We start from the raw sequence: 27,206 nt of genomic DNA on the forward strand, positions 1-27,206 counted from the left end.
CCTGTCTCATTGTTGCCATTCATTTTACTTATAAGCACGCATAAATACATAAGGAAGCATACTTAATCGAGTACATTGTTATTGTTATTATTTTGAACAAACTACTTTTAATTAAGAATAAGAAAAATCAATTTTTTTTGAATCTTCACTTAATTCCCTCTCCAGTCCTCTAATCTGTGTTTCCTACCTGGATCATTTTCCTTCTTTCTGAAATAATTTTGGCAACATAGGTTTCCTGGAAACAAATCCCCTCAATTTTGTTTGTCTCTTTCACTTTGAAGGATACTTTTTCAGGGTGCAGAATTCTAGGTTGGTGTTATTTTTCCCCCTCTCAGTGCTATAAATATTTCATTCTACTCTTTCCTGCTTGCATGGTTTCTAAGAAGTTAGATGTAATTCTTGCCTTTGCTACCCTGTAGGTAAGGTTCCCTCCCACCTTGATTTCTTTTAAGATTTTTTTTTGTTTTTGATTTTCTGACATTTGACTATGATATTGCTCAGTGGTGTTTTTTTTTGGTGGGGGGTAAGTGGGGAGGTCATTGCTTGGCTTTTTATTGGCATTGTTTCCTGAACTTTCTGGATCTATGGTTTGGTGCCTGACAACAATTTGGAAAAATCTCCGTCGTTATTACTTCAAATATTGCTTCTTTCCTCTTTTTTCCAGATATTACCATCACATATGTTATACCTTTTGTAGTTGTCCCATAGTTCTTGGATATTTTCTGTTTTTTTTTTCTTTTGTATTTTTTTCTCTTTCCTTTTCAGTTACGGAAGTTTCTATTGTCATATCCTAATGCTCAGATTCTTTCTTCAGCCGTGTTTAGCCTACTGATAGATCCACAGAGGGATTCTTCATTTCTGTTACAGTGTCTTTTTCTCTAGCATTTCTAATTGGTTATTTCTTAGAATTTCCATCTCTCTGCTTATGTTATCTTTCTGTTCTTGCTTGTTGTCTGCCTTTTTCACTAAAGCCTTTAGCATATTAATCGTGTTTTTTACAAAATTGCTAGTGGCCGGGCATGGCCTGTAATCTTAGCACTTTGGGAGGCTGAGGCAGGCAGGTTGCTTGACTCAGGAATTTGAGACCAACCTGGTCAACTTGATGAAACCCCATCTCTACAAAAAGTACAAAAATTAGCTGGGCGTGGTGGCACACACCTGTAGTCCCAGCTACTTTTTGGGGCTGAGGCAGGAGGATCACTTGAGCCTAGGAAGTTGAGGCTGCAGTGAGCCTTGTTTGTGTCACTGCACTCCAGCCTGGGTGACAAAGCGAGATCCTGTCTCCAAAAAAAAAATTGCTGGTTTGGTAATTCTGCCATTGCAGCCATATTTGACTCTGGTTCTGATGCTTGTTCAGTGTCTTTATTAAAAATTTTTTTTTCAGAGTCTCAGTGTTTAAACCAGAAGGTTGTTAAGTGTCTTCAGCTGTGTGTGTGTGTGTGTGTGTGTGTGTGTGTGTGTGTGTGTGTGTGTGTGTTTGAGACAGAGTCTTGCTCTGTTGCCCAGGCTGGAGTGCAGTGGTGCAATCATCTTCTAGGTGCAAGGATCCTCCCACCTCAGCCTCCTGAGTAGCTAGGACTACAGTCAGACACCACTGTGCCCAGCTATTTTTTTAAAAATTTATTTTTTGTAGAGATGGGTGTTGCTGTGTTGCCCAGGCTGGTCCTGAACTTCTGGGCTCAAGCAGTCCTCCTACTTCAGCCTCCTAAAGTGTCGGGATTATAGGTGTGAGCCACCAGTCCCAGCCCATTTTAACTGTTTGGAGTGTACCGTTCAGTGGCATTAAATACATCCACATTGTTGATCAACCATCATCACCACCATCCATCTCCTGAATGGTTTTCATCTTCCCATACTGAAACACAGTAGCCATTAAATCATCTTTTGGCTTCCCTGGGCCACATTGGAAGAAGAGTTGCCTTGGGCCAAACATAAGTTACAGTAACACTAACGATAGCTGATGAGCTTAAAAAAAAAACCACACAAAAAACTCAACGTTTTAATAAAGTTTATGAATTTGTGTTGAGCCTCATTCAGAGCTGTCCTGGGCCACAGGTTGGACCAGCTTGCATTAAACACTAACTCCTGCTCCCGCCCAGACCCTGGCAACTGCCGTTCTACTGTCTCCATGAATTCGACTATTCTAAGTACCTTGTGTAAATTGCATCATACAGTATTTGTCCTTTTATCACTGGCTTCAAGCACAGTGTCTTCAAGGTTTACTCATGTTGTAGGATGTGTCCGAATTTCCTTTCTTTTTTTATTTTTAAATTTTTTAGAGGCAGAGTCTTGCTCTGTTGCTGGACTACAGTGGCATGATCATAGCTCACTGCAACCTCATACTCCTGGGCTCAAGGGATCTTCCCACCTCAACCTCCCTAGTAGTTGGAACCATAGGTGTGCATCACCATGCCTGGCTAAGTTTTATTTTTATTTTTTGAGGTCTTGCTATGTTGCCCAGGCTGGTCTTGCCTGGCTTCAAGTGATCCTCCCACCTTGGCCTCCCAGAATGCTGGGATTTCAGGCGTAAGCCACTGCGCCTGACTAGAATTTCCTTTAAGGCTGAGTTATATTTCATTTTATGTATATACAACATTGGTTATCCATTTATCCATCAATGGACACTACAGTGCCTCTGCCTTTTGGCCATTGAGAGTGATGCTGCCATGAACATGGGTGTATAAATATCTGTTCAAGTCTCTGCTCTCAGGTCTTTAGGGTATATACCAAGAAGTGGAATGGCTAGATCATATGGCAGTTCTCATTCTACTTTTTTGAGGAGCTGCCATACTGTTTTCCATGACTGTACCATTTTACATTTCCCCAGTGGCACATGAGGGTTCCACTTTGCCCACATTAGCTAGCACCTCTTTTTGAGTGTTTATAGACATGAGCTGTACAGTGGTTTTCAAAGCATTGTTGGTTGCTTAAATCTTTCTGGCAGCAAAATCCAGGGAGGTTTTCTTTATAGAATTTACAAGGTCTGTGTTACTATATTTTCCTGGTTTTCTTCCTACCATTCTTGGCCTCTCTTAATTTTCTTCTGGGCCACTTTCACATTTTGTTCTCCAGCCTTTCTTATTTTCCACACTGTTTCTTGGGTGGTCTCCACTTTCATGGCTGAACTTACCAGGTATGTGCTAATGATGCTCATACCTACTTCTAACCCTGATTTTCTGTTGAGTTCCGGTGCTTACTGGGCATTTCCACTTGTGCTCATTCTGCCCTCAAAGCAGTTATGACCCTGGATATGTAGGGTCTAAGTGCTAATGAGCCTGAATCCTGATACTTCCAAAGACTAGTTATTTGCTCTCTGAGCTTCAGTTTCCTCGCTTACATATGGGAAGGATAACAGTTATTTTAAGGATTAAATGATAGTTCATGTAATGTTTATATTACAGTATACATTGGTGGTAGTTAACATGTCTAGCCATTATCACTATTATTCTTTGTATAAATAATTTCTCCCTCTATTTCATAAATTTTTAAAAATTGTCATGAGATTATGTAATCAAAAGGTGCTGCCATTTTTAATTTTTAATTTTTTAGAGACAGAGTCTTGCTTTGTCACCCAGGCTGGTGTGCAATGGTACGATCATAGCTTGTTGCAATTTTCAGCCCTGGGTTCAAAGTGATCCTCCTGCTACAGCCTCCCAGTAGCTAGGACAATAGGTGTGAGCCATCATGCTTGGGGTAAAAAAAAAAAACAAAACCATATATATATATATATATATAAAATATATATACAAAAAAATACACACACACACAGAGACAGAGTAGAGATGCCCAGGGTGGTCTCAAACTCCAGACCTCCCAAAGTACTGGATTACAGGCGTGAGCCACTGCACCTGGCCAAGGTACTGTTATTTTTATTAATCTTGTATGTCATTATAGTACTCTTTTAAAACGCTAGTACCCGGCCAGGCACTGTGGCTCCTGCCTGTAATCTCAGCACTTTGGGAGGCTGAGGCGGGTGGATCACAAGGTAAGGAGATCAAGACCAATTTGGCTAACACGGTATAACCCCCTCTCTACTAAAAATACAAAAAAATTAGCTGGGCGTGGTGGCGGGAGCCTGTAGTCCCAGCTACTCTGGAGGCTGAGGCAGGAGAATGGCGTGAACCCGGGAGGAGGAGCTTGCAGTGGGCCGAGATTGCGCCACTGTACTCCAGCCTGGGCAGCTGAGCGAGACTCCATCTCAAAAAAAAAAAAAAAGAATAAATAAAAAAGATAATTAGATTTTTTTTGTAACACGAAGAAAGGATGAATGCTTGATGTGATGGTTACATCATTTACCCTGATGTGATTATTATACATTACATGCCTGTATCAAAACATCATGGCCGGGCACGGTGGCTCACGCCTGTAATCCCAGCACTTTGGGAGGCCGAGGCGGGCGGATCACGAGGTCAGGAGATCGAGACCATCCTGTCCCACATGGTGAAAGCCCATCTCTACTAAAAATACAAAAATTAGCTAGGTGCGGTGGGACACGCCTGTAATCTCAAAAAAAAAAAAAAAAAAAAAAAAAGCTGGTACCTATACGCAAGTGTATCAGCAATAGATGAGTGGACCTGTTTCCCTATATTCCCCTTCTAGTGTTAGTTTTAATTATTTGTGATTTGTTTGGTGGTTCACTGGATATAAAGGAATACCTTATGGATTTTCATTAAGAAAATTAATGAAAAATTAATAAAAAGCTAAATATTAAATATTGGCTTGCATTTTGGTTTCTTCTTGACTGATTGCTTGATCACTGGGTTTCTATTTCTTTGGTTCCCACTAGGTATTGTATAAGCTTAAAAATTATCCTCTGGTATTTTGAGTTTACTCCCCCTTTTGAAAGGACTTTTTGTTTTAATCTCTGTACTTCATGTCATTGCTCCTCTATTGTCTGGATCTTAACGGCCCCCCAGCCCCATTATTGAGAACTGTATTTACAGCAAGCCCCTTAAAAACAAATTTTATGTTTGTTTTTACAATATACAGTTAATTTCTTAGTGTCATCAGCTATAAATGGAGTTATGAGAAATAAGTGAAAATTGTTCAATAAATATTTCAGTGCCTGTGAAGTGCCAGGCTCAAAAATGTTTAAGAACTGCCTGGCACATATGAGATCCTCTGTAAAAGTAGTAGCCATTGTGATGTACCATAAAGTTTACTTTTCATAATTTGGGAGGCAGTAGCATGATGGAAATAGGGTGGCATTTGTGTGTTCTTCCCTAGCCACTTCCCTACTGTGTTACCTGGATCAGTTACTGTCTCTCCAGCTCAGATTATTTGTAAAAGATGATATAACTTACAATACAAGATTGTGAGGGTCAAATGCAAATGTGTGAATACATTTGGTAAAGCAAAGTACAGATGCTAAAACCCTTAAAAAACAATCTTTTCTTAGCACCTTCCTTTGCAAATATAGATTGCATTATTGTTTTGTAACAGCTTTATTGAGACATAACTCACCCACTTAACGCATACAAGTTAATGTTTTTTAGTATATTCATGGAGTTGTACAACTGTCATCACAATCACTTAGAATATTTTCATTATTCCACAGGAAACCCTATACCTGTTAGTAATCACTTCTCATTTTTCTCTCATCCCGCTAGACCTAGGCAACCACTACTGTACTTTCTGTTCCTATAGATGTGCCTATTCTGGGCATATAAATGGAATCATACAAACGTGGTCCTTTTTTGGGACTAGCTTTTTCCCTCTTAGCCATGTTTTCAAGATTTATCTGTGTAACATGTATGAGTACTTCATTTCTTTCTTTTGTCAAATAATACTCATTATGTGGGGAATATTACCTTTTATTTATTCATTCATCAGTTGATAGATACTTGGATGTTTCTGAGTTTTGGCTTTTATGAATAATGCTGCTGTAGACATTTATGTACAAATTATTCTGTGAAAGTATGTTTCAATTCTCTTGGATACATACCTAGGAGTAGAATTGTTGGGTCATATGGAGCTCTGTGTTTATCCTTTTGAGAAACTGTGAGACTATTCTCCAAAGTGTCTACACCATTTTACATTCCCACCAGCAATGTGTAAGGATTCTGATTTTGTCATATCCATGCCAGCACTTTTGTTTTTTGAGACAGCGTCTCACTCTGTTGCCCAGGCTGGAGTGCAGTGGTGCAGTCACAGCTCACTGCATGATAGCCTTGACCTCCTGGGCTGAAGTGATCCTCCCACCTCCGCCCCCCAAGTTGCTGGGACCACAGGCATATGCCACCATCTCTGGCTAATTTTTTTGTGTTTTTCTTTTCTTTTCTTTTTTTTTTTTTGTTGTTGTTAAGACAAGGTTTCACTACGTTGTCCAGGCTGGTCTTGAACTCCTGGGCTCAAGTGATTCTCTCCTCTCGCCTTGGCTTCCCAAAGTTGTTGGGATTACAGGTGTGAGCCACCATGCCCAGCCTTTCCCATCCCTTCCCATCCCTCCTTCCTTTTTGAGACGGGGTCTCTCTGTATTGTCCAGGCTGGACGGGGACTCATGGATTCAAGCAGTCCTCCTGCCTTAGCCTCTCTAGTGGCTGGGACTGTAGATGTGTGCCACTGCGCTTGCCTCATTTGGTTTTTTTTTGGAGACAGTCTTACTCTGTCACCCAGGCTGGAGTGCAGTAGTGCAATCTCAGCTCGCTGCAACCTCTGCCACCTGGGTTCAAGCAATTCTTGTGCCTCAGCCTCCTGAGTAGCTGGGATTACAGGTGTGTGCCACCGCATCTGGCTAATTTTTGTATTTTTAGTAGAGTCGGGGTTTTGCCATGTTGGCCAGGCTGGTCTCAAACTCGGCCTCAAGCACTTCACACACCTCGGCTTCCTAAAGTACTGGGATTACAATTACAGCAGTCTACTGTGCCTGGCCTCGCTTGCCCATTTTAAAATTGTGTTGTTTGTCTTTATTACTAAGTTGTAGGAGTTTCTTAATTATTCCATATTCTTGTCTTTTTTTTTTTTTTTTTTTTTTTTTTGAGACAGAGTCTTGCTCTGTTGCCCAGGCTGGAGTGCAGTGGTGCAATCTCGGCTCACTGCAAACTCCGCCTCCCAGGTTCACGCCGTTCTCTTGCTTCAACCTCGCGAGTAGCTGGGACTACAGGTGCCCACCTCCACGCCCGGCTAATTTTTTTGTTTGTTTGTTTGTTTTGTTTTGTTTTTTGAGACGGAGTCTCGCTCTTTCACCCAGGCGGGAGTGCAGTGGTGCGATCTCGGCTCACTGCAAGCTCCGCCTCCCGGGTTCACGCCATTCTCCTGCCTCAGCCTCCCGAGTAGCTGGGACTACAGGTGCCCGCCACCACGCCCGGCTAATTTTTTTTTTTTTTGTATTTTTAGTAGAGATGGGGTTTCACCGTGTTAGCCAGGATGGTCTCGATCTCCTGACCTCGTGATCCGCCCATCTCGGCCTCCCAAAGTGCTGGGATTACAGGCATGAGCCACCACGTCCGGCCTCTGTATTCCTGTCTTTTGAGACAGGGTTTCACTCTGTCACCTGGCTGGAGTGCAGTGCTGCGATCACTGCTCACTGCAGCCTCGACTTCGTGGGCTCAGGTGATCTTCCCACCTCAGCCTCCTGAGTAGCTGGGACTACAGACGTATGCTACCACGCCTGACTGATTTTTTTGTATTTTTTGTAGAAACGGGGATTTACCACGTTGCCCATGCTGGTCTCAAACTCCTGGGCTCAAATGGTCTGCCTGCCTCGGCCTCCCAAAATGCTGGGACTACAGGCATGAGCCACTGCGCCCAACCTTGTACATAAATCTTTTATCAGAAATATGATTTGTCAATATTCCATTCTTTGGGTTTTCTTTTCACTTCTTGATGGTGTTATTACTGAAGGATGAAAACTTTTAATTTGAAGTGCAATTTATCTTATTTTTCTTTTATCTCGTGTTTTTGGTGTCATATCTAAGAAAGTTTTGCCTAATCCGTGGCCACAAAGATTAACTCCTGTGTTTTTTTCTGAGTTTTGATTGCCTCATTTTTAATGACTATTTCACTGGATAGATAAAAGAACCTTGGTTCAGATGAGATCATTGTTGTTTATTGTTGGATATTTAGGAACCATGTATTTGTGGATGACCTGGATAGTTTGTTCTGTGGTTTTCCCCACAGTGTCATCTTCCTCTATATTTAGACATTTCTTTTTCTATTATAAGCTCTTTGGACATTATTATATATGACTTTGTGCTCAGTATAAACACCTTAGAATAAAAGAATAATTGGACCAAGGGGTATATAGATTTTAACACCTTTTTGTTATCAGTGGCCAGAAAAATTACCCCAGTTGCTATTTTACCAGCAGTTCCAGTCAGTTTTATGTTAATACATTTTAAAACTTGTTTTATTAGGGGTAAATTTGGACATGCAGAAATTGAACAGTATAATGAAACTATCAGTTACCCAGCTCTAACAACCATACACTCAAGGCCAGTCTTGTCCCACTTAACTTCCCCATTTCCCACTTCTCTTCTATATTATTACTATTTAAAAACTCTATTGAATCACAATAGAAATACGGAAAAGTACATACAATAAGCAGATTTTCATAAGCTGAAATCCACCTGGGCAAGCAGCCATCACATGTCTCCTTGTGTCCACTTCCAGTCACACCCTCTCTAGGGGCAGCCGGTATTCTAACAGCTAACAGCACTGATTAGTTTTGCCCAGTTTTGTTTCTATTAAATAGAGTCTTACAGTAGGTACTCTTGTGTCTTTCTCTTGGCATTGTTTGTAAAATTACTGAAGTCATTGCATACAGTTGATTATTTGTTACTGTTGCTTCACAAAATTTTGTCATATGAAATTGTTCTGTTGTTGATGGACATTGGATAGATGGTAGTTTTGGGCTGTTACAGATATTGCTGCTCTGAACATTCAGTTTGTATCTTTTGGTCAACAACATACGTATGCATTTCTGTTGTTCAGTATACCTAAGGGTGAAATTGCTAGGGCATAGAGGTATATGTATAGTAGTGGCATCTACTAAAGCTATTGTACCAAATTAGGCTTCCATCAGCAGTGTGTGAAAGTTCCACTTACTCTGGATCCTCTCCAGTATTTCATCCTTTTCATTTTAGCCATGCTGGTAGCTGTGTAGAGATGTCTTACTTAGGGCAATTTTAATTTACAGTAGTGAGGTCATACGTTTATTGGTCATTTGGATATCCTTTTTTATGAAACATATGTTTAAGCCTTTTTTTTTCTATTATCTTTTTTCTGTTTTTATTACCTTTCTATTTTTTGCTGCATAATAAATTATCCCCAAACGTAGTGGATTAAAACAGCAATAAACATTATCTTGCAGTTTCTGGGAGTCAGAAACTTGGGAGTGGCATGGTTGTCTGCTTCTGGCTTGGGTGTGATTAGCCCTCTGAAGCCTTCATGGATCCGCTGGAGGATCTGTTCTAAGGTGGCTCATTTACATGCCTGGCAAGTAGGTTCTGGTTCTGGCTGTTGGTGGGAGACCTCAGGTCGTTTTCACATCGGCTTTTGCCAGGGATGTCTGAGTTTCCTGTTCTCAGGACATGGTGATAACTTCCCACTGAGAGAGTGATTCAAGAGAAAGAGCCCCTAAGTGGAAGCTATCATTTTTGTGACCTAGTCTTGGAAGTCACGTAGCATCTAGCTTTGCCATGTTCTGTTTGTTAGAAGAGAGGCACATTGTGGACTTCTAAAAAAGTGACAGGGTCTTATTCTGTCACCCAGGCTGGAGTGCAGTGGTGCGATCATAGCTCACTGCAGCCTTGACCTTCCTGGCTCAAGGGATCCCCCCACTTCAGCCTCCTGAGTAGCTAGCTGGGCCCACAGTTGCGCGCACCACCACACCCGGCTCAGTTTTGTATATTTTGTAGTTGGAGTTTTGCCATGTTTCCCAGGCTGGTCTCAAACTCCTGGGTTTGAGCATTCCTCCCACCTCGGCCCTCCAAAGTGCTAGGGATTATAGGCAAGAGCCACTGTGCCCAGCTGAGATGTATTTTAAAACAACAGTTAGTAGGATTTTTGTATTTTGGACAGGCATCTCTTGTCAGATGTATATATCGTGAATATCTTTACCTATTCTGTGGGTCCTCATTCTGTCTTTTGAGGTGAAGGAGTTCTATTAAATCTTTTTTTCTTTATTGTCAATTTTGTCCATTATATTTTGAAGATATTCAAATAATTATTGCTTCTTCTATAAATATGTTAGTATATGTTCTCAGAGAATAAGGACTCTTAACCGTAACAACCACAAAGCCTCACATCTTAAAAATAAAATGAACACACATTTGCTTGATATTATTCAATACTTAGACTTGAAAGTTCTAGTTTCATGTGATAACTTTTTTGTGTGATTTTCTAATTTTGGCAGTGGCAAATCAGGATCCAAATAAGACCTACCTTTTTTTTTTTGTATATGGGTTCCTCATTTTTTGCTCTTCTCCCACCATGCCTTCCATTTGTGGGAGGACTGGGCTCTTTTGTTTTGTGGTATTCCCCACAGTGTTGTGTAGCCTCTGTTTTATGTGCACTGGTAGTTGGATCTTGAGGAAGTTTCTCTTGGAGAATACACTTTGTTGGACTTTCACTTTAAAACTTTTTTATTTTTTTGAGACGAAGTCTCAGTCTGTTGCCCAAGCCGGAGTGCAGTGGTGTGATCTTAGCTCACTGCAACCTCCACCACCTGGGTTCAAGCAATTCTCCTACCTCACCCTCCCAAGTAGCTGGGACTGCAGGTACGTGCCACCACGCCCGGCTAATTTTTGTATTTTTAGTAGAGACAGGGTTTCACCATCTTGGCCAGGCTGGTCTTGAACTCCTGACCTCGTGATCTGCCTGCCTTGGCCACCCAAAGTGCTGGGATTACAGGCGTGAGCCACTGTGCTCAGCCTAAAACTTTTATCTGAAAATGGTGCTGTTTCTTTGGTTGTGATCTGTCTCTGGAGGTTGAATGTGGAGCTAAACTGAAATTTTTAAGGGCTTCTAACCTAAATCACATTGAAATTCATTTAGACCAGAGCTGTTCAATACTTGAAGGGTGAGGGTTCATTTTGGAAGGCACTTCCGCCGCCTTCCTTTTCTGTGTGTACGGGAGGCCAGTGGCAGTCTGGTCATCTTGAGTGCATCACGCCCTCACTGGCAGTTCAGAATGTTGCAGGGCATCGTTAGCATGGATTTTGCTGTTGTTAGTTTTTTCATGTTTATTGTCTACTTGTTTTCTCCTCGTGCTGTCTGCTGGCTTTCCTTCTCTTGTTGCCAGTTTTGGAGTTGTGATGAACAATATGTTAAGGGTTGATAACTCAAAATTCTTAAGTTCTTTGTGGGTTAACATTGAATTTGTAGTGTTCTCCAGTCTCTTTCTTTTCTAACAGAAACTTTCATGATGAAAAGTTAGAAGAATAAATTACAATGTGATTAACCCTGCACATTGAAGAAGTAGACAAATTATTAGTATTATTTTGAGACAGGGTCTCACTCTGTCATGTAAGCTGGAGGGCAGTGGCGGGATCTCGGCCAGTGCAACCTCTGCTTCCCAGGTTCAAATGATTCTCGTGCCTCAGCCCCCTGAGTAGCTGAGATTACAAGCACGCACCACCACACCTGGCTGATTTTTGTAATTTTAGTAGAGATGGGGTTTCACCATGTTGGCCAGGCTGGTCTTGAACTCCTGGCCTCAAGTGATCTGCCCGCCTTGGCCTCACAAAGTGCTGGGATTACAGGCGTGAGCCACTGTGCCCAGCCTTCAAATTATTTCTTAAAATGCGTGTGTATCCAGAGTTTAAACTGAAAGAGTTGTTTTCTTAATTCCAACTGTATTTTTAAAGTATCATTCAACTTCAAGTAATAATTAAATTTTTCATGTTTTGTTTATAAGTGAATGTATGTAAATGATACCAATTTTTGGCCACTAATTCATTCAGCAGATACCTTGGGTGCCTACCCGGTGCCAGTCCTAGCGCTTCCTGTGCTTTGGTCATACAGTAAGTCCTCACTTAACACCATTAACAGGTTCTTGGAAGCTGCAAACTTAAGCAAAATGACATAGAACTGAACCAGTTTTGTCTGCCTCATCAGTGTTATAATGGAATGGTGTTATTCAAGAACCTGCTGTATGTTGTTTTGCTTAAAGTCGCAGTTTGAAAAAACGTGTTGACACTATTAAGTGAGGATTTACTGTGTACATGGTTAAAGATGATGGACATGGTGCTGGTACCCTCATGAAATGCTCAGGACAGTGTTTCTACGAAAGACAATGCAGGCTATGTATGTAATCTTAAATTTTCTAATAGCCACATGAAGAAAGTAAAAAACGCATAAAATTAATTTTAATATGTTTTATACAACCCATTATGTCCAAAATATTATTTCAACATATAATCAGTAGGAAAATTGAGATGTTTTCACATTTTTATACTAAATCTTTGAAATCCATTGCATATTTTATACTCTTAGTACCTCTTAGATGAAACTAGTCATATTTCAAGTGCTCAAAAGCCGTATGTGGCCACCATAGTACAGAGCATATATCAGAATTATTATCATTATTGTTCATGCTCACATGGGAGTTGCAGGGGGCGCTAACCAAGAACCCAAGTAAACAGTGGGTTGGAGGGGCCAGAGGAGACTGGGAGATGAATTAGGAAGCTGTGTCCAAAGGGTATCTTAAAAGATCTTTATGGATGAATGCACACTCCAGTTTACCTTATTCCAGGTTGTGGCAAAAGATGCAGAGAAGGGAAAGTGTAAGGCGGAACTGACAATGTTTTGGTGAATTGGATTGGAAGGGAAAAGAGGAGCCAGGGCTGTTTTCCAGGCTGCCTTTCACAACTAGGGTGTGCCTTTTACTGAGATGGGGAGGGCATGGTGAAGAGGAGGTTTGGTTGGATGGGCAGCTTGTGATGGAGAGCAAAAGCTCCATTTTGGAGATTAAATACCATGTGCTTGTGAGATAACCAAAGGGAAATGTCTACTAGTCATTGGGTTACCTGTGTTTGAAATGCCATGATGGTTGTTTTGGTTTTATAAATTTGGACCTTAGTTGTGTTTATGGAGAGGAATTTTTGTTTGTTTGTTTTTGAGACGGAGTCTCACTCTGTTGCCCAGGCTGGAGTGCAGTGGTGTGATACTGGCTCACTACAACCTCCGCCTCCCAGGTTGAAGTGATTCTCCTGCCTCAGCCTCCCGAGTACCTGGGACTACAGGCGCACACCACCACGCCTGGCTAATTTTTGTATTTTTTAGTAGAGACAGGTTTCACCATATTGGACAGGCTGGTCTCAAACTCCTGACCTCGTGATCCGCCTGCCTCAGCCTCCCAAAGTGCTGGGATTACAGGCGTGAGCCACCGTGCCCGGCCTGGAGAAGAATATTTTAAAAACCCACGGAAACGGCTTCGTTTATTCAACAGAACTTGTCTTGAATCTCCCAGCGCTTTGTTTTAGTTGCTGGGGAAACAGCACAAATAAAACAAATGTGAATTTACTTCGAGCAAATGTGCTGCACTCAGGGAAGTGTGCTAGGTCCACAGCCTGACCTCTGTGGGAGCCTCTGTGTTATCAGTGGGACAGAAGAAGGAAGGAAGGAAGGAGAGGAGCAGCCCTCCAACTAGGGAGACTGAGAAATGGCCAGTGAGAAAACAACGAGTGTGTGACATCAGAGAAGCCAGGCGAGGAGAATGTTCTAATGAGGAGCGTCTTCTGGGGGACTGCCTTGCATGCTGCTGAGAGTGAGGTGTACGTGAGGACAGAAGAGTTTCATTTGGATTTAGCCTTGTCTGGAGGTTGTCAGTGACCTGAAAGAGCAGTTTGAGCTGAGTGGTAGAGAGATCGCAGATTGGAATGAGGTGAAGAGGGAATGCTATCAGACAAATAACTTTTTCTTTTTTTAAAATAACCCCTACAAATCATTGAGAAGACCAACCCAGTAGAAAAGTAGACAAAGGATATAAACAGACAGTTGGCAGAAAAGTGAAGTATAAATGGTTCTTCAATATATGAACAGTGCCCATCCTCACTGAAGAGAAAAGCAAATGCATTGTTGACCAGGTGTGTGGAAACAGGCTTTCACACATCACTGGGGGAATATGGGTAGGGCTGACCTCCGTGGAGAGCCACTTGGCCATGTACCTCATTGGAGAGCCACTTGGCCACGTGCCTAATTAGAAGCGCACATTCTTTGATCCAGCAGATCCACTTCTGGAAATACTGGCATATTTTGTAATAGCAAAAAGTGAAAACTAAATGGTCATCAGTGGTGGCCTGGTTAAATCAGCAGTAAAACAAAGGAATGTCTATATCAGGTAAAGCATTATATTCTTGAAGAAAGTAGAAATTGTTTTTTTTTTCTTACTATGCTCTAAGTCAGGTTCTTTGAGAGTTACTTTTTTTCATTAAAATTTTTCAAGATTGAGAAATATACAGGTGGGTCTGGTATAGGCCACACAATGTATATAGAAAGGTGCCTTTGAAAAGAGCTGTGTAGAGCTTGTCCTTCTGCCCTGACCCTCTACTTTTTCACGTTTCACTTAAGTCAGTAGGCTATATTCCTTTCTCCAGATACCTGTTAGGATTCTTTCGAGTGGATTCTTTCCTATTTCATATATGTACTGAGTTATACGCCATAGGAAAGGATATCTTACAATATCTTTATGGATGAATGCACACTTCAGTTTACCTTATTGCAGCTAAAAGTAAGTGTACCCCCTGTCAAGAGAGCATCCCGTTTTACTTGGTTTGGCTCATTGACAAAGTAAGCAAGCTCCTGGTACAATTTGAGAGCCCTGAAAGCAGCAATGGGGATTCTACTATAGCTGTCTAGTGTAGGAAGATTTTCTTGGTCAAGTTTTTGTTGGGGGAAAGAACAGTCCAAACCTTTGTGAGCTGTGTGTTCTCATCCCAGCTACACGCACCTGACTGTATAGAACTTTTTGCAGTTTGGCCTTCTTTGGAGATAGCAGTGTGTTTTTACGTGTGGACTAAAGCAAAAATGAAAAACTAGGCACGTGCCAGTAGACCAAATCAGCCTCCTAGCAGAGCACATTGACATTGTACAACTTTACAGCCTCTGTCATTGGGGTCTGGTTTCAATTTACTTCATTTCTTAAGAGTTTAAACTGGTTTTTATAATTTTTCCTTATTTCTTTGAGTATCTTGGTTTCACTTATTTGTTCTTTTCTATGTCTTCTTAGATCTAAAGGAATGAAGAATTTTAGGATTTGAAGTGTCTTAAGTAATCATTTAGTCTAAACCTCTCATTTACAGATAAGAAAACAAGCTCAGAGAGATGTGGTGACTTGCTCAAATAGTGACAGAACTTCCTCGGCCATATGGAGGGGTCATATAATACCCTTGTGTCTTCAGTTTGAGGTACCTCCCATAATTTTAAGGGGTATGTGGCTTTAATTACATTACTACTGTTTGAATGAAGAATATTAATTTATATGCTGCACTAGTTCATTTAGAATCGTGGACACAATCGAGTTGAACTCTTACATTTTTTGGTTGAGAAAGTTAAGACCTAGAAGATGAGAATTTATTCATCTAAGATTACAGGCCATAAACATTTATTCTGTGCCTAGATTTTTAAAAATTGAATTATTGTTTTTTATTTATTTAGAGAGATAGGGTCTTGGTATGTGTGTGCTTAGTTTTAACGTGAGTCAGAGCAGTGCTGTCTAGTAGAACTTTGTATTAGGTTGGTACAAAAGTAATTCCAGTTTTTGCAATAAAAAGTAATGGCAAAAACCTGATTACTTTTCACCAACCTAATATAAGTAGTTAAAATTAATTTAAAATTCAGCTCCCAGGGGAGTGGGGTGGAACAACAACAAAAAACCAGCTCCTTTGCCTTCCTAGCCATGTTTCAGATGCTCAGTAACTGTGTGTGGCTGTGGAACTGGACAGCTCAGCCGTAGAGTGTTTCCCTTTCTTGTTAATCTTTTTTTAGAAATGCTAACGGTGGAGACTAAGGCATACAAGTATGACTAGAATTGCCAGCTACACATTAGAAGGTTTAGGTTCAAAACTGGGAGTAAAGACTTAACTCTTGGAGCTTGGGATAGTGCTACAACTAGTCCTGGCCTGAGCCTTTTCTTCATTCATGTTTTATCCTTTTTTTCTTTATTTTTGGACACTGATAAGAACCTGTATGAGATTGTTTCCTTTTTTCCCCCCGCGTTGTAGGTATCTTGTTTTGCCAGTTTATTAGGTTGGTGCAAAAGTAATTGTGGTTTTTGCCATTACTTTTAATTGCAAAAACCACAATTACTTTTGCACCAACCTAATAAAAATCCCACCCTTAGGCTTGAGTTCTCCTGTGCTCAAGCAATTTTCTTACCTTGGCTTCCTGAATAGCTGGGACTATAGGCATGCACCACCACGCCTGGCTAATTTTTATATTTTTAGTAGAGACGGGGTCTTGCTATTTTGCACAGGCTGATCTCTAAGTCCTGGCCTCAAGTGATCTTCCTGTTTCAGTCCCCAAGGTGTTGGGATTATGGGCATGAACTGCTGCACCCAGCCCTTTATACTCAAAAAAAAAAAAAAAAAAAAAAAAAAAAAAAAAATTCCTAACTGTAAATTGATAAATTATAGCTGTTATTTATAGGGTACAAAGTGATGTTATGATTCATGTATACAATGCAGAATAATTAAATCAAGTTAATTAACATTCATCACCACAAACACTTTTTTGTGGGAAGAAAATTGGAAATTCTCTTTGTGATTTTGAAATGCACAGTGGGATGAGTATTTACTACATTCACCATGCTATGCACTATATCTCAAAGAAAAAAAACCCTTTTTCCTCCTAATTAAGGCTTTGTCTCCCCTGACCATCATCTTCCCCATTCCTCTCACCTTTCAGCAATCTTTGTACACTTATCTCAGATAATAACCATTTGATTGCCAAGATTCCATATAAGAAGTTTTGGTCTTTTTTACCTTTGTACTATGGATTATGGAAGTTTCAGCTTTTACATCAAATTAAGCTTGATTGTATACCTTGGCTGAGCCCACTAAATGTAGCTCGGTGATTGGGATCATGTAGTCATTTGTACCTTTGCTGTGCGTCCCTGCCCACTGTTGTTACAACAGGCAGAGGTAGTTCTTTGGGCCTTATTCTAGATGTTGATGTACTAATTTATGACTTGGCTCTGTTTTAATAGCAGCTTAGATTGTGTTGGCTTCATATATGCCTGCAGTGATTTGAGTGTCCATTAGGGTGCATAGCCAAACAATGATGTAGTCCAATTAGGTGCCAAAGTCTTTACTTCAAGTACTTTACATACATGATTTTGCTTTTAGGAGGTGATAGTATGGATTTACTTTGGGTGTTTTGTACTTTTCACAGTAGTCTTTTTGCATTTTTTTTTTTTTTTTTTTGGTATAGTGATTATTGATTAACGGCTTAGAAGTCTTGGTGTTCCTACCTCGGGCTGTACTAAAATGGTTGGTGTTTCTGAAATTGGCTGATTGAGTTGCCTGTCTATAGTTATTTTTGTTGGAAGATGCCTCTGAAGACATGGGAATTAGGTTATTTATCAACAGTCATGGAAGTTGGTTGTTGCCTGATTATGGGCATTTATGCAGTTATTTTTGATGATTTTTGTATTCAAAATTTTGTGGATGATTTTTAAATTTACGGTGTGCTAGGCATTGAAGGTAAAAATGGTGAACAAGTCCTTGTAGAGATGAATTATCTTCCCATCTCATTACCTTCATCTCTTCAAACTTGGGTGCTTTAGAAAACGTGTGAGGGTACTTGCAGCAATGGGATTTTTGAGATTTGCATTAGGAGGGCATTCTGAGGTGGCCTGTCCTGGGACTTCCTGATGCCAGTTAAAAACTAGTGTTTCTTGCTTTTGTGTATCCAAGCTTTGTGATATACCACCTGTCTGTCTAATGGAGAGTGCATCTTTAGTTGTGTATGATATGTGCTCTCAGGAGAAAATGCTTTCTTGCATGTTATGCAATAGCTATGATTTCCTCTTATGAGTTTACATCAGGAATATCATGGTATTTATATTAGAAATTTATATGAGGCTGGGTGAGGTGGCTAACACCTGTAATCCTAGCACTTTGGGAGGCTGAGGTGGGAGGATTGCTTGAGCCTAAGTGTTTGAGACCAGCCTGGGCAACATAGCAACACCTCATGTGTAAAAAAAAAAAAATTTATATGAGAGGATAGGGAGCAGATTACTACTGCTTTTTTTCCCCGGCCTAAGTGAGTTTTTTGGCCTTTTTTTTTTTTTTTTTTTTTTTTTGAGATGGAGTCTTGATCCATCACCCAGGCTGGAGTGCAGTGGCACAGTCTTGGCTCACTGCAGCCTCTGCCTCCTGTGTTCAAGCAATTCTCCTGCCTCAGTCTCCCGAGTATCTGGGATTACAGGCACCAGCCACCAAGCCCGGCTTATTTTTTTTGTATTTTTAGTAGAGACGGGGTTTCACCACGTTGGCCAGGCTGGTCTGGAACTCCTGACCTCGTGATCCACCCACCTCCACCTCTCACAGTGCTGGGATTACAGGCGTGAGCCACCGTGCCTGGCCGGCTTTTTGTTTTTAAATAAATTTAGTGTCCATATAAGAGTGATTTGGGGTAAATCCTTTATTTTCCTAGACTATAAAACAGGGATGATAATAATAGGATGGAAAAGTACTTGCACAGTGCCAGCGCAAAAGGTTTGTAAGGATAGTTTTCATTCCTGCTGCTCTCAAATTTTGTGATTAAGCAAGTTCACTTAGATGCTGTTTAGTTGAGAATTTGTGGTTTTGGTGTTTTAGTCCAAAGCAGTCCTCATTCTTAAATGTTATTTTTATATTATGTTACACTTGCATTCTCTTTATTGGTGTTATCAGAGTCAGCAGTACTGAAAAGAAGAGAAATCTTTTGACAGGGTTAGGTTGTGTGACAGGGTTAGGTTGTGTGACAGGGTTAGGTTGTGTGACAGGGTTAGGTTGTGTGACAGGGTTAGGTTGTATGACTGTTGAGAAAAATGCAGTGTATTGAAGGAATGATTGGCTGCAAATAAAAGTATACTATTTTCTTTTCCTGTCTTGATTTCTTTTTTGGAGAGAGGGCTTTGGATTCATTTCCTCTAAGAGAATAGTCTAATGCTGTCAACTACTGAACCACATCTGATATTATTGATGATTAAAACCATAGTCTTCCTCGTTAGCTTCCATGATGCTGTGCAGCAGCTCCCAGTGTTTCAGAGTAGTCTTACTCTAACCGTGTCCTTTTCTCACCCTGTCCTTTGATTATGATGTAAATAGAAATTAAATACTTGGAGAATTCCCCCGTTTTCACCTTTAGTGTTCTTTAGGGAGAACCTTTCATCATCCTTATGGATTCCACCCTCATCTGTTTGTGTTTAACTTTCAAAGCATCTCTTTGTGGCTTAGCTTTTTTTAGTGGTGTTGTGCTGTAGTATGTCTGGATACTGTCAGTTAAATTCTTTCCCTGTGAGGATAGGAAACCTTGGATCTTGATTTCTTCAACCGTGCTTGTCTGACTTCTCCTTCACCATCAGTACGTTCTCAGTCCCTCTGGGCTTAAAGCAGATTTTATTTTTTTATTTTACTTCTCTATTTTTTTTTTTTTTTTTTTACCAAGTCCTGCTTAATTTTTTCTGTAGCCACTGGTACCATGTTTAAAGCTTTGATTATTTTTATATTAGATTCATAAATTGTTGAAGCAACAAGAAAATTTAGAGTTAATTTACCCCACCTCTCTTATTTTTATTTTTGAGACAGGGTGTCACTCCTATCACCCAGGTTGGAGTGCTATGGCACAATCTTGGCTCATTGAAACATCCGCCCCTTGAGTAGCTGGGACTAGACATAAGCCACTGCATGTGGCTAATTTTTTTTTTTTTTTTTTTTTTGAGACGGAGCTTCGCTCTCGTTGCCCAGTTTGGAGTGCAATGGCACAATCTCGGCCCACTGCAACCCTTGCCACCTGGGTTCAAGCGATTCTCCTGCCTCTGCCTCCCGAGTAGCTGGGATTACAGGTGCCTGCCACCACACTCGGCAAATTTTTTTTTTTTTTTAAGTAGAGACAGGTTTTCACCTTCTTGGCCAGGCTGGTCTCAAACTATTGACCTGAGGTGATCCACCTGATTTGGCACCTCCCAAAGTGCTGGGATTACAGGTGTGAGCTACTGTGCTCGGCCTTTTTTTTTTTTTTTTTTTTTGATAAGTTTTGTAGAGGTGGGGGTCTCACCATGTTGCTCATGGTGTCCTCTAACTCCTGAGCTCAAGTGATTGGCCCACCTTGGCCTCCCACAGTGCTGGGATTACAGGCATGAGCCCCTACTACACCTGGCCTATTTTATTTTATAGATGAAGAAATCGATACTCAGGTTAAGTGATTTGTCTTAGCTTCTCATTACCTGTGTGACCTGATATTACAGCTCTCTGGTCTCTCAACATTTAATACCTCTTCCCAGTCCAACATTCTTCTTTGTTTTTTTTGAAACAGGGTTTTGTTAGGTAGCCCAGGCTGGAGTGCTGTGGCGCGACACAGTTTACCGTAGCCTCAACCTCCTGGGCAAGTGATCTTCCTGTCTCAGCCTCTCGAGTAGCTGGGACCACAGGCGTGTGCTACCATGCTTGGCTGATTTTTAAAATTTTTGTAGAGAATGGGGTCTTGCCATGTTACCCAGGCTGGTCTCGAACTCCTGGGCTCAGGTGATCCTCCTGCCTTGGTCTCTCAAAATGTTGTGATTATAGGCATGAGCCCCAGCATTTTTTCTTAAAAACTTCTAGGTTTTTCTTTAAACTAAAGCTTTATATGTCCATATTTTGGAGTCAACTATTCTAGATTGGGTAAGACAAACAGGAGTCCTTAAGTATCCCACTCTCTTTTTTTCCCTTTCCTGGAGATAGTGTAATACTTTGGACTGTTTTAACCAGTTAAAAATACTTATTTACCTCCATATGTCTGAAGACTGTATTTGAAGGGTTCATACTTGTGTGTATACTTTCTGATTTTTTTAGTTCTAACCAGTGTCTATTGATTTTCTGACATGGAAGATAAGGATTGGCTCTCTCTTCTCTCCTTTACTGCACCTTCATCCCTGTTTTCTCTCTTCCCTATCCACCCAATAGAGGTTTGTTAACATTTTGGTTAAATCACTATTTAGTTTTTTCATTACAACCACGTATACTACATTACGACCATGCATACTTTTTTTTTTTTTTTGAGGCGGAGTCTCGCTCTGTCGCCCAGGCTGGAGTGCAATGGTGTGATCTCAGCTCACTGCAACCTCTGCCTCCCGGGTTCAAGCGAATCTCCTGCCTTAGCCTCCTGAGTAGCTGGGATTAAGGCACGCGCCACCACGTCCGGCTAATTTTTGTATTTTTAGTAGAGACGGGGTTTCGCCATGTTGGTAAGGCTGGTCTCAAACTCCTGACCTTGTGATCCGCCCGCCTTGGCCTCCCAAAGTGCTGGGATTACAGGCATGAGCCACCGCGCCCGGCCCATGTATACTATTTATAGCTGTTAAATGGTATAAATTACAAATACTTTCCTTTCCTAAACAACTTTTGGTTTCCTCTGGAAATGTGTTACTGTGTTAGAGTGTGTGTGTGTGTGTGTGTGTGTGTGTGTGTTTTGAGTTGGAGTCTCACCCTGTTGCCCAGGCTGGAGTGCAGTGTCGCGATCTCAGCTCATGGCAACCTCTGCCTCCTGGGTTCAAGTGATTCCCCTGCCTCAGCTTCCTGAGTAGCTGGGATTACAGGTGTGTGCCACCACACCTGGCTAATTTTTGTATTTTTAGCAGAGACGGGGTTTCGCCATGTTTGCCAGGCTGGTCTTAAACTCCTGACTTCAGATGATCCACCCGCCTCGGCCTCCCAAAGTGCTGGGATTACAGGCATGAGCCACTGCGCCCAGCCGTGTGTGTGTGTGTGTGTGTGTGTGTTTTTTAAATGTACTTATCACTAATTTAGCCTCAGACTTTTAGCCAGTTACATATTCAGATCTTCCCTCATCTTTATCCTTTTGAAGGAATCTTTCTAGTTTGGACTGCTGGCTCTCCCATTCTGTGACCTTGGGGGTTCTTTTTACCTCTTTCTCCCCATTGGATCTCCTATTCCTGTGTTCTGTGTTACCTTGTTGCTCTCCTTAGTTTTAGTGGAGCATAGTTGCCAGTAGTTTTCAGTGAGAAAGGTGTATAGGAGCTAGACCTGTTGAGACTGTGTGTCTTTCTGTGTACTCGTGGTTGATAAAGTTTGACTGTGTATATGCTTTTGGATTGGAAATAGTTTTCCTTCTATATTAGTCTGCTCAGGGTTGCCATAACAAAATATCATAGGCTGGGTGGCTTAAACAACAGAAATTTATTTTCTCACATTCTGTAAGCTAGAAGTTCAAGATCAAGCTTCTTGACAATTTGGTTTCTAGAGAGTGGCCTCTTTCTGGTTTAGAGACACCATCTCTTCTCACATGTGGTGCCAATCATCATACCAGATGACACAGTCTGGAGCACCATAATCCCAAATGTTGGAATACCTAAAGATCAGAATCCCTGAAGATCAAAATCCTTAAAGATCATAATCTCTAAAATCCTGAAAATCACAAAAGATTAAAATCCTGAGTGTTGAAGCCCTGAAAGCCAATTACCGGGGAAGGGACAGTATGTTTTTGGTTGTGCGTAGGATAGTTGCATCACGTTAGACGGAACTATTACCTTGTTATTGTCTTTATTCGTAAATTAAGTATGGTTTAAGGAGATGCGTGTGGGTGCCAGGTTGACAATAGGTGGACTTGTGGACTCAGTTTTAGATGACACCTTAACTAAGGAGTACCTAGAAACCTGGTGAAACATTAGGTTTTGGGTGTGTCTGTGAGAGTGTTTTCAGAGGAGATGGAAAAATTCTCAAACAGCATCTAAACGCACTTGCTTAATCACAAAACGTCAGGTATGAATGTCTGCCCTTACAAACCTTTTGTGCTGGCATTGTACAAGTGCTTGTCCATTCCTGTTATTAGTTATTATCCCTATTTTGTAATTGATAATACCTCACTCACTAATGCGTGAGTCTGAGTGGGCTGCGGGGAAGATCTGCCCTCAGTGTTGGCAGGTACCATCCAATCAACCAGGGTCCAGACTCTTCTGCTGCCTTGGATGTGAGAAATCCAGGGTTGCCAGCCTTTGGACTCCACGATATACACCAGCAGCCCCCTTGGGTCCTGAGGCTTTTGTGGACTGAGTTAGAGACCACTGGCGTCCCTGGTTCTCAGGCCCTTTGGACTTGGATTGAACCTCGTTACCGGCATCCCGGGGGTCTTCAGCTTGCCTGTCATGGGACTTCCCAGCACCATAATCGTGTGAGCTCATTCCCCGCATAAATCCCCTCTCATGTATCTGTATACATATCTTACCAGTTCTGTCTTGCTGGAGAAGCTTAATACAAATCTGGTATTGGGGAAGTCAAATATTCCTTCTTACTGTGTTTCTTAAAACACAATGGAACAGATCTGTGAAATTGTTCCCTTGCAAAAAGGCTGTGATAAGTGTATGAGGCTACGTAATGGTGAAAGATAAAAATGTTAAAGTTAATTATTATTGGGGCTATGAAAGCAGAAAATTGCTTAATTGCAACAGCTGGACATAACAGACTTTGAAACAGACAGCATGTACTTAAAGAGTTTGAAGACCACAACCACTCTTCAAATACAAGTGCAACAGGTGTTTCGAAGATCATAGACGTAGTGAAGACAGACAAAAACTACAAGAAATCTCTTCTGCCAAATTATTCAGTCCTATAAGACTTCTGCCCATTCACACATAGCGCCAGTTTGCTATGCTATATATTTAGTCTTCACATCATATTCAATACTGGTGGTATAAGTTGTATATATTGTTTTTGTTTTATGCGTTTTTTGCACATTTGACTCCACAAAAGTACATTTTTAGTGTTGACTTTGTGTGTAAGCGTTGTACATATGTGTAAAACAGTTGAAACTTCCTCAGTAAATGAAGAGATGTCCTTTTTTGTATATCTGCATTTGTGAAAGATAAAATTAAAGATCTTAGCTCTCTGAGCAACTGCATATGTGATGTTGATCCATCGTGGTTTTTGGTAGATCTCATCAAAAGACATAGGTTGTAGATGACTGCAGTTGTAAAGCTGATTGCATACAATTACCACCCGTAGTTATACGCATTTTAATGTATGTACGAATGAATGAATGAAACAAGGTCTTGCTTTGTCACCCAGGCTGGAGTGCAGTGGCGTGATCATATCTCTCTGTAACCTCAAACTCCTGGGCCTTAAGTGACCCTCCTGCCTTAGCCTGTTGAGTAGCTAGGACTGCAGGTGCTTGCTCCAAAGTCCAGCTAATGAAAAAAACTTTTTTTTTTGTAGGGGTGGGATCTCACTGTGTTGCCCAGCTGGTCTTGAACTGGCCTTAAGCATTCCACCCGTCAGAGCCTCCCAAAGCTCTGGGATCTCAAGCCTGAGCCACCATGCTGGCTGTTATATGCATTTATGCATTTTGCTTTTTTTTTTAACCTATTTCTTTATGAATGTAGTTTGTCTGCTCATGACTGTTAGTCTACCCATGTGACTGTCATTATTAGACTTGAATTATACCTTGTATCCTTGCAAAAATATGCATGTGATTATTGCCTATTTTATTGTGTAAAGTGACCTATGACGTATTCTCTCATTTTTTTTATGTTTCTCAAATCCCCCTTTATTTTTTATTTTTTGAGACGGAGTCTTGCTCTGACGCCCAGGCTGGAGTACAGTGGTGTGATCTCGGCTCACTGCAACTTCTGTCTCCCAGGTTCAAGTGATTCTCCTGCCTCAGGCTCCCAAGTAGCTGGGATTACAGGTGTGCACCGCCACGCCCAGCTAATTTTTGTATTTTTAGTAGAGACGGGGTTTCGCCATGTTGGCCAGGCTGGTCTTGAACTCCTGACCTCAGGCGATCCACCTGCCTTGGCCTCCCAAAGTGCTGGGATTACAGGAGTGAGCCACCATGCCTGGCCTGAAATCCCCCTTTGAAAATAGAAATACATGTCTTCTGAAAGTTTTTTTAAATTATTTTTTTCCAGAATTATATTTTTGGGATTTTGATCTTTTGGGATTGTAATTTTCAGGATTTTAGACTTTAGGGCTTTTGATCTTTCAGGCTCAGAAGGAAAGAAAACATCTCCCAGGACCAGATGTGGAGTAGATGGGAGTTGGAGAGAAGCTGAAGCCCAGGCCCAGCAACAGGCTGGGGGCCCAGGTGCTTCGGGGGTCCCAGCCATTAACAGAGCTTCGTGCAGGTGGGCAGCTGGAGCCAGGGGGGCTCACTCTCTTGTGAAACAGGCAGAAAAACAGGCCAAACTCTGCTGGGGGCTGCAGCCTTTAGGGAGCAGCTGGTCTCCTGAGGCAAAAGGACACATACTTTGTTGAGGCCAGGAACTGGACCAGCCTGTCGGGGGCTTGGTAACTCCATCCAGAACATCCTCAGGGTCTCCACAAGGCAGACACAGCACAGTACCACAGGAGATGGCTGGGACAAAGAACCAGGAGCTGGAGGGGTGAGGCGGTAGGGGGGCAGCAATCCTGAAACAATGAGAACATAGAGAAGAGAAAGAAAAGTCATACCAGCTCGGAAGAGCTTGCAAACCGATGTTCCAAAACACGCCCAGAATTCTAATGTTCACAAAGTTATCCAGTCAATAATTAGAATCCACTGCACATGAGCATTCAGCATTCGGGATTGTGGCATTCAGGATTGTGTCTTTCGAGATTATGACCCAGACTTTCTCAACATGGCCTTTCCTTGGGTTCATGTGCACGTGGTGTCTCATAAGGACACTAATCCTGTCAATTCAGGGTCCCACCCTTGTGACTCCATTTAACTGTAATTACTTCCTTTCTCCAAATATAACCATGCTGGGAGTTAGGACTTCAACATATGAGTGGAAGAGAGGGAGGACAGACATTCAGCCAGAACGGATCTCTTCAGAATTCTTTAGACATTGCCCCATTATCATTTTTTTATTGTAATAAAATACATATTAAAAAATTTACCATCTTAGCCTTTTTAAGTGTACAGTTAATAGTATACCTTCATAACATTGTGCAATCAGCACCGTCCTCCATCTCCTGTTCTGCTTTCTGGCTCTGATTTTGACTATTCTGAGTACCTCCAATAAGTTGGAATTACATAGTCTTCTGCCTTTATTCAAAATACATTTTTGTCATTTTTGTGACTGGCTTATTTGACTTGGCACGTCTTTATGGTTCATCTACATTGTAGCGTATATCAGAATTTCCTGTTCAAGACTGAATAATATTCCATTGTATGTATATACAGGTTAAAGCATCCCTAATTGGAAATTTCGAAATGCTTCAAAATCTGAAACTTTTTGAGTGCCAACACGATGCCACAAGTGGAAGTTTCCACACCTGACCTCATACAACACATGTGACCTCATGTGACTGGTTGCAGTCACAATATGGACACACAATACACAGTTAATTTAAAATATTGTGTAAAATTACCTTTAGGATATATGTATAAAGTATACTTTAAACACAACTGAATTATATGTTTAGATTTGGGCCCTATCCCAAGATATCTCATTATGTATATGCAGATATTTAAAAATGCAAAAAAATTGAAATCTGAAATACTTCTGGTCTCAAGCATTTTGGACAGGGGATACTCCGTCTCTACCATACTTCACTTGCCCATTCATCTGTTGATGGACACTTGGGTTGCTTCCATGTTTTAGCTGTTGTGAGTAATGCTGCCATGAACACAGGTACACAAATATCTTTTCAAGACCCTGCCTTCAGTTCTTTTGAGTGTAGAACCATAAGTGGACTTGCTGGGTCATATAGTAATTCTATTTTTAATTTTTTGAGGAATGAATGTTAACGGTTTTTCCACAGCTGCTGTACCATTTTGCATTCCCACCAATAGTGCGCAAGAGTTCCAGTTTCTCCACATCCTTATTGACACTTATTTCCTGTTTTTTTTTCTTCTTTTCCTATAGTAGCCATCCTAATGGATGTGATGTGTTACTTCACTTTTTTGTTTTCTGTTCTTGAGAAATCTGAAACTATTCAGATTTTTGGTTATGGAAGACCTAGGCTCTTCTTTGTGCCAGGGTCATGCCGTTTAACAGTGATGTTCCTTGGTATGGGTCTGTTTTAAGTAACGGTTTTGAGAATTATTTATCTGATTTCCTCTCTTCTGTTTTTTTGTTCTTT

At 41.1% G+C, this 27,206-nt stretch overlaps 1 protein-coding gene across 84 annotated transcripts in view, besides 2 other annotated features; it reads left to right on the plus strand.

Annotated features, from left to right (window-relative positions):
* PPP6R3 (protein phosphatase 6 regulatory subunit 3) overlaps window positions 1–27,206 on the plus strand; it is a 154,583-nt gene that overhangs the window by 29,151 nt on the left and 98,226 nt on the right. For 27 of the 84 annotated variants that reach the window (NR_147971.2, XM_047427204.1, XM_047427206.1 and 24 more), the window contains exon 2: window positions 15,243–15,369. The exons of 37 other annotated variants lie outside the window; for them this stretch is intronic. The gene's annotated coding sequence lies outside the window, so the exon portion shown is untranslated. Of the gene's footprint in view, window positions 1–15,242; window positions 15,370–25,125; window positions 25,265–27,206 lie in introns of all 84 variants that reach the window. 20 more of the 84 variants (XM_047427205.1, XM_047427207.1, XM_047427213.1 and 17 more) reach the window with 3 other exon arrangements.
* Window positions 20,959–21,537: an enhancer, noted in NCBI's record as "H3K27ac-H3K4me1 hESC enhancer chr11:68278329-68278907 (GRCh37/hg19 assembly coordinates)". NCBI's record gives its function as "activates a minimal SCP1, AML or CMV promoter by ChIP-STARR-seq in primed H9 embryonic stem cells {active_cell/tissue: H9 hESC(primed)}" and the evidence as "EXISTENCE:reporter gene assay evidence [ECO:0000049][PMID:30033119]".
* Window positions 21,538–22,115: an enhancer, noted in NCBI's record as "H3K27ac-H3K4me1 hESC enhancer chr11:68278908-68279485 (GRCh37/hg19 assembly coordinates)". NCBI's record gives its function as "activates a minimal SCP1, AML or CMV promoter by ChIP-STARR-seq in primed H9 embryonic stem cells {active_cell/tissue: H9 hESC(primed)}" and the evidence as "EXISTENCE:reporter gene assay evidence [ECO:0000049][PMID:30033119]".

Source organism: Homo sapiens, chromosome 11 (assembly GCF_000001405.40).
Source record: "Homo sapiens chromosome 11, GRCh38.p14 Primary Assembly".
In the NCBI taxonomy this organism is placed as follows: Eukaryota; Metazoa; Chordata; class Mammalia; order Primates; family Hominidae; genus Homo; species Homo sapiens.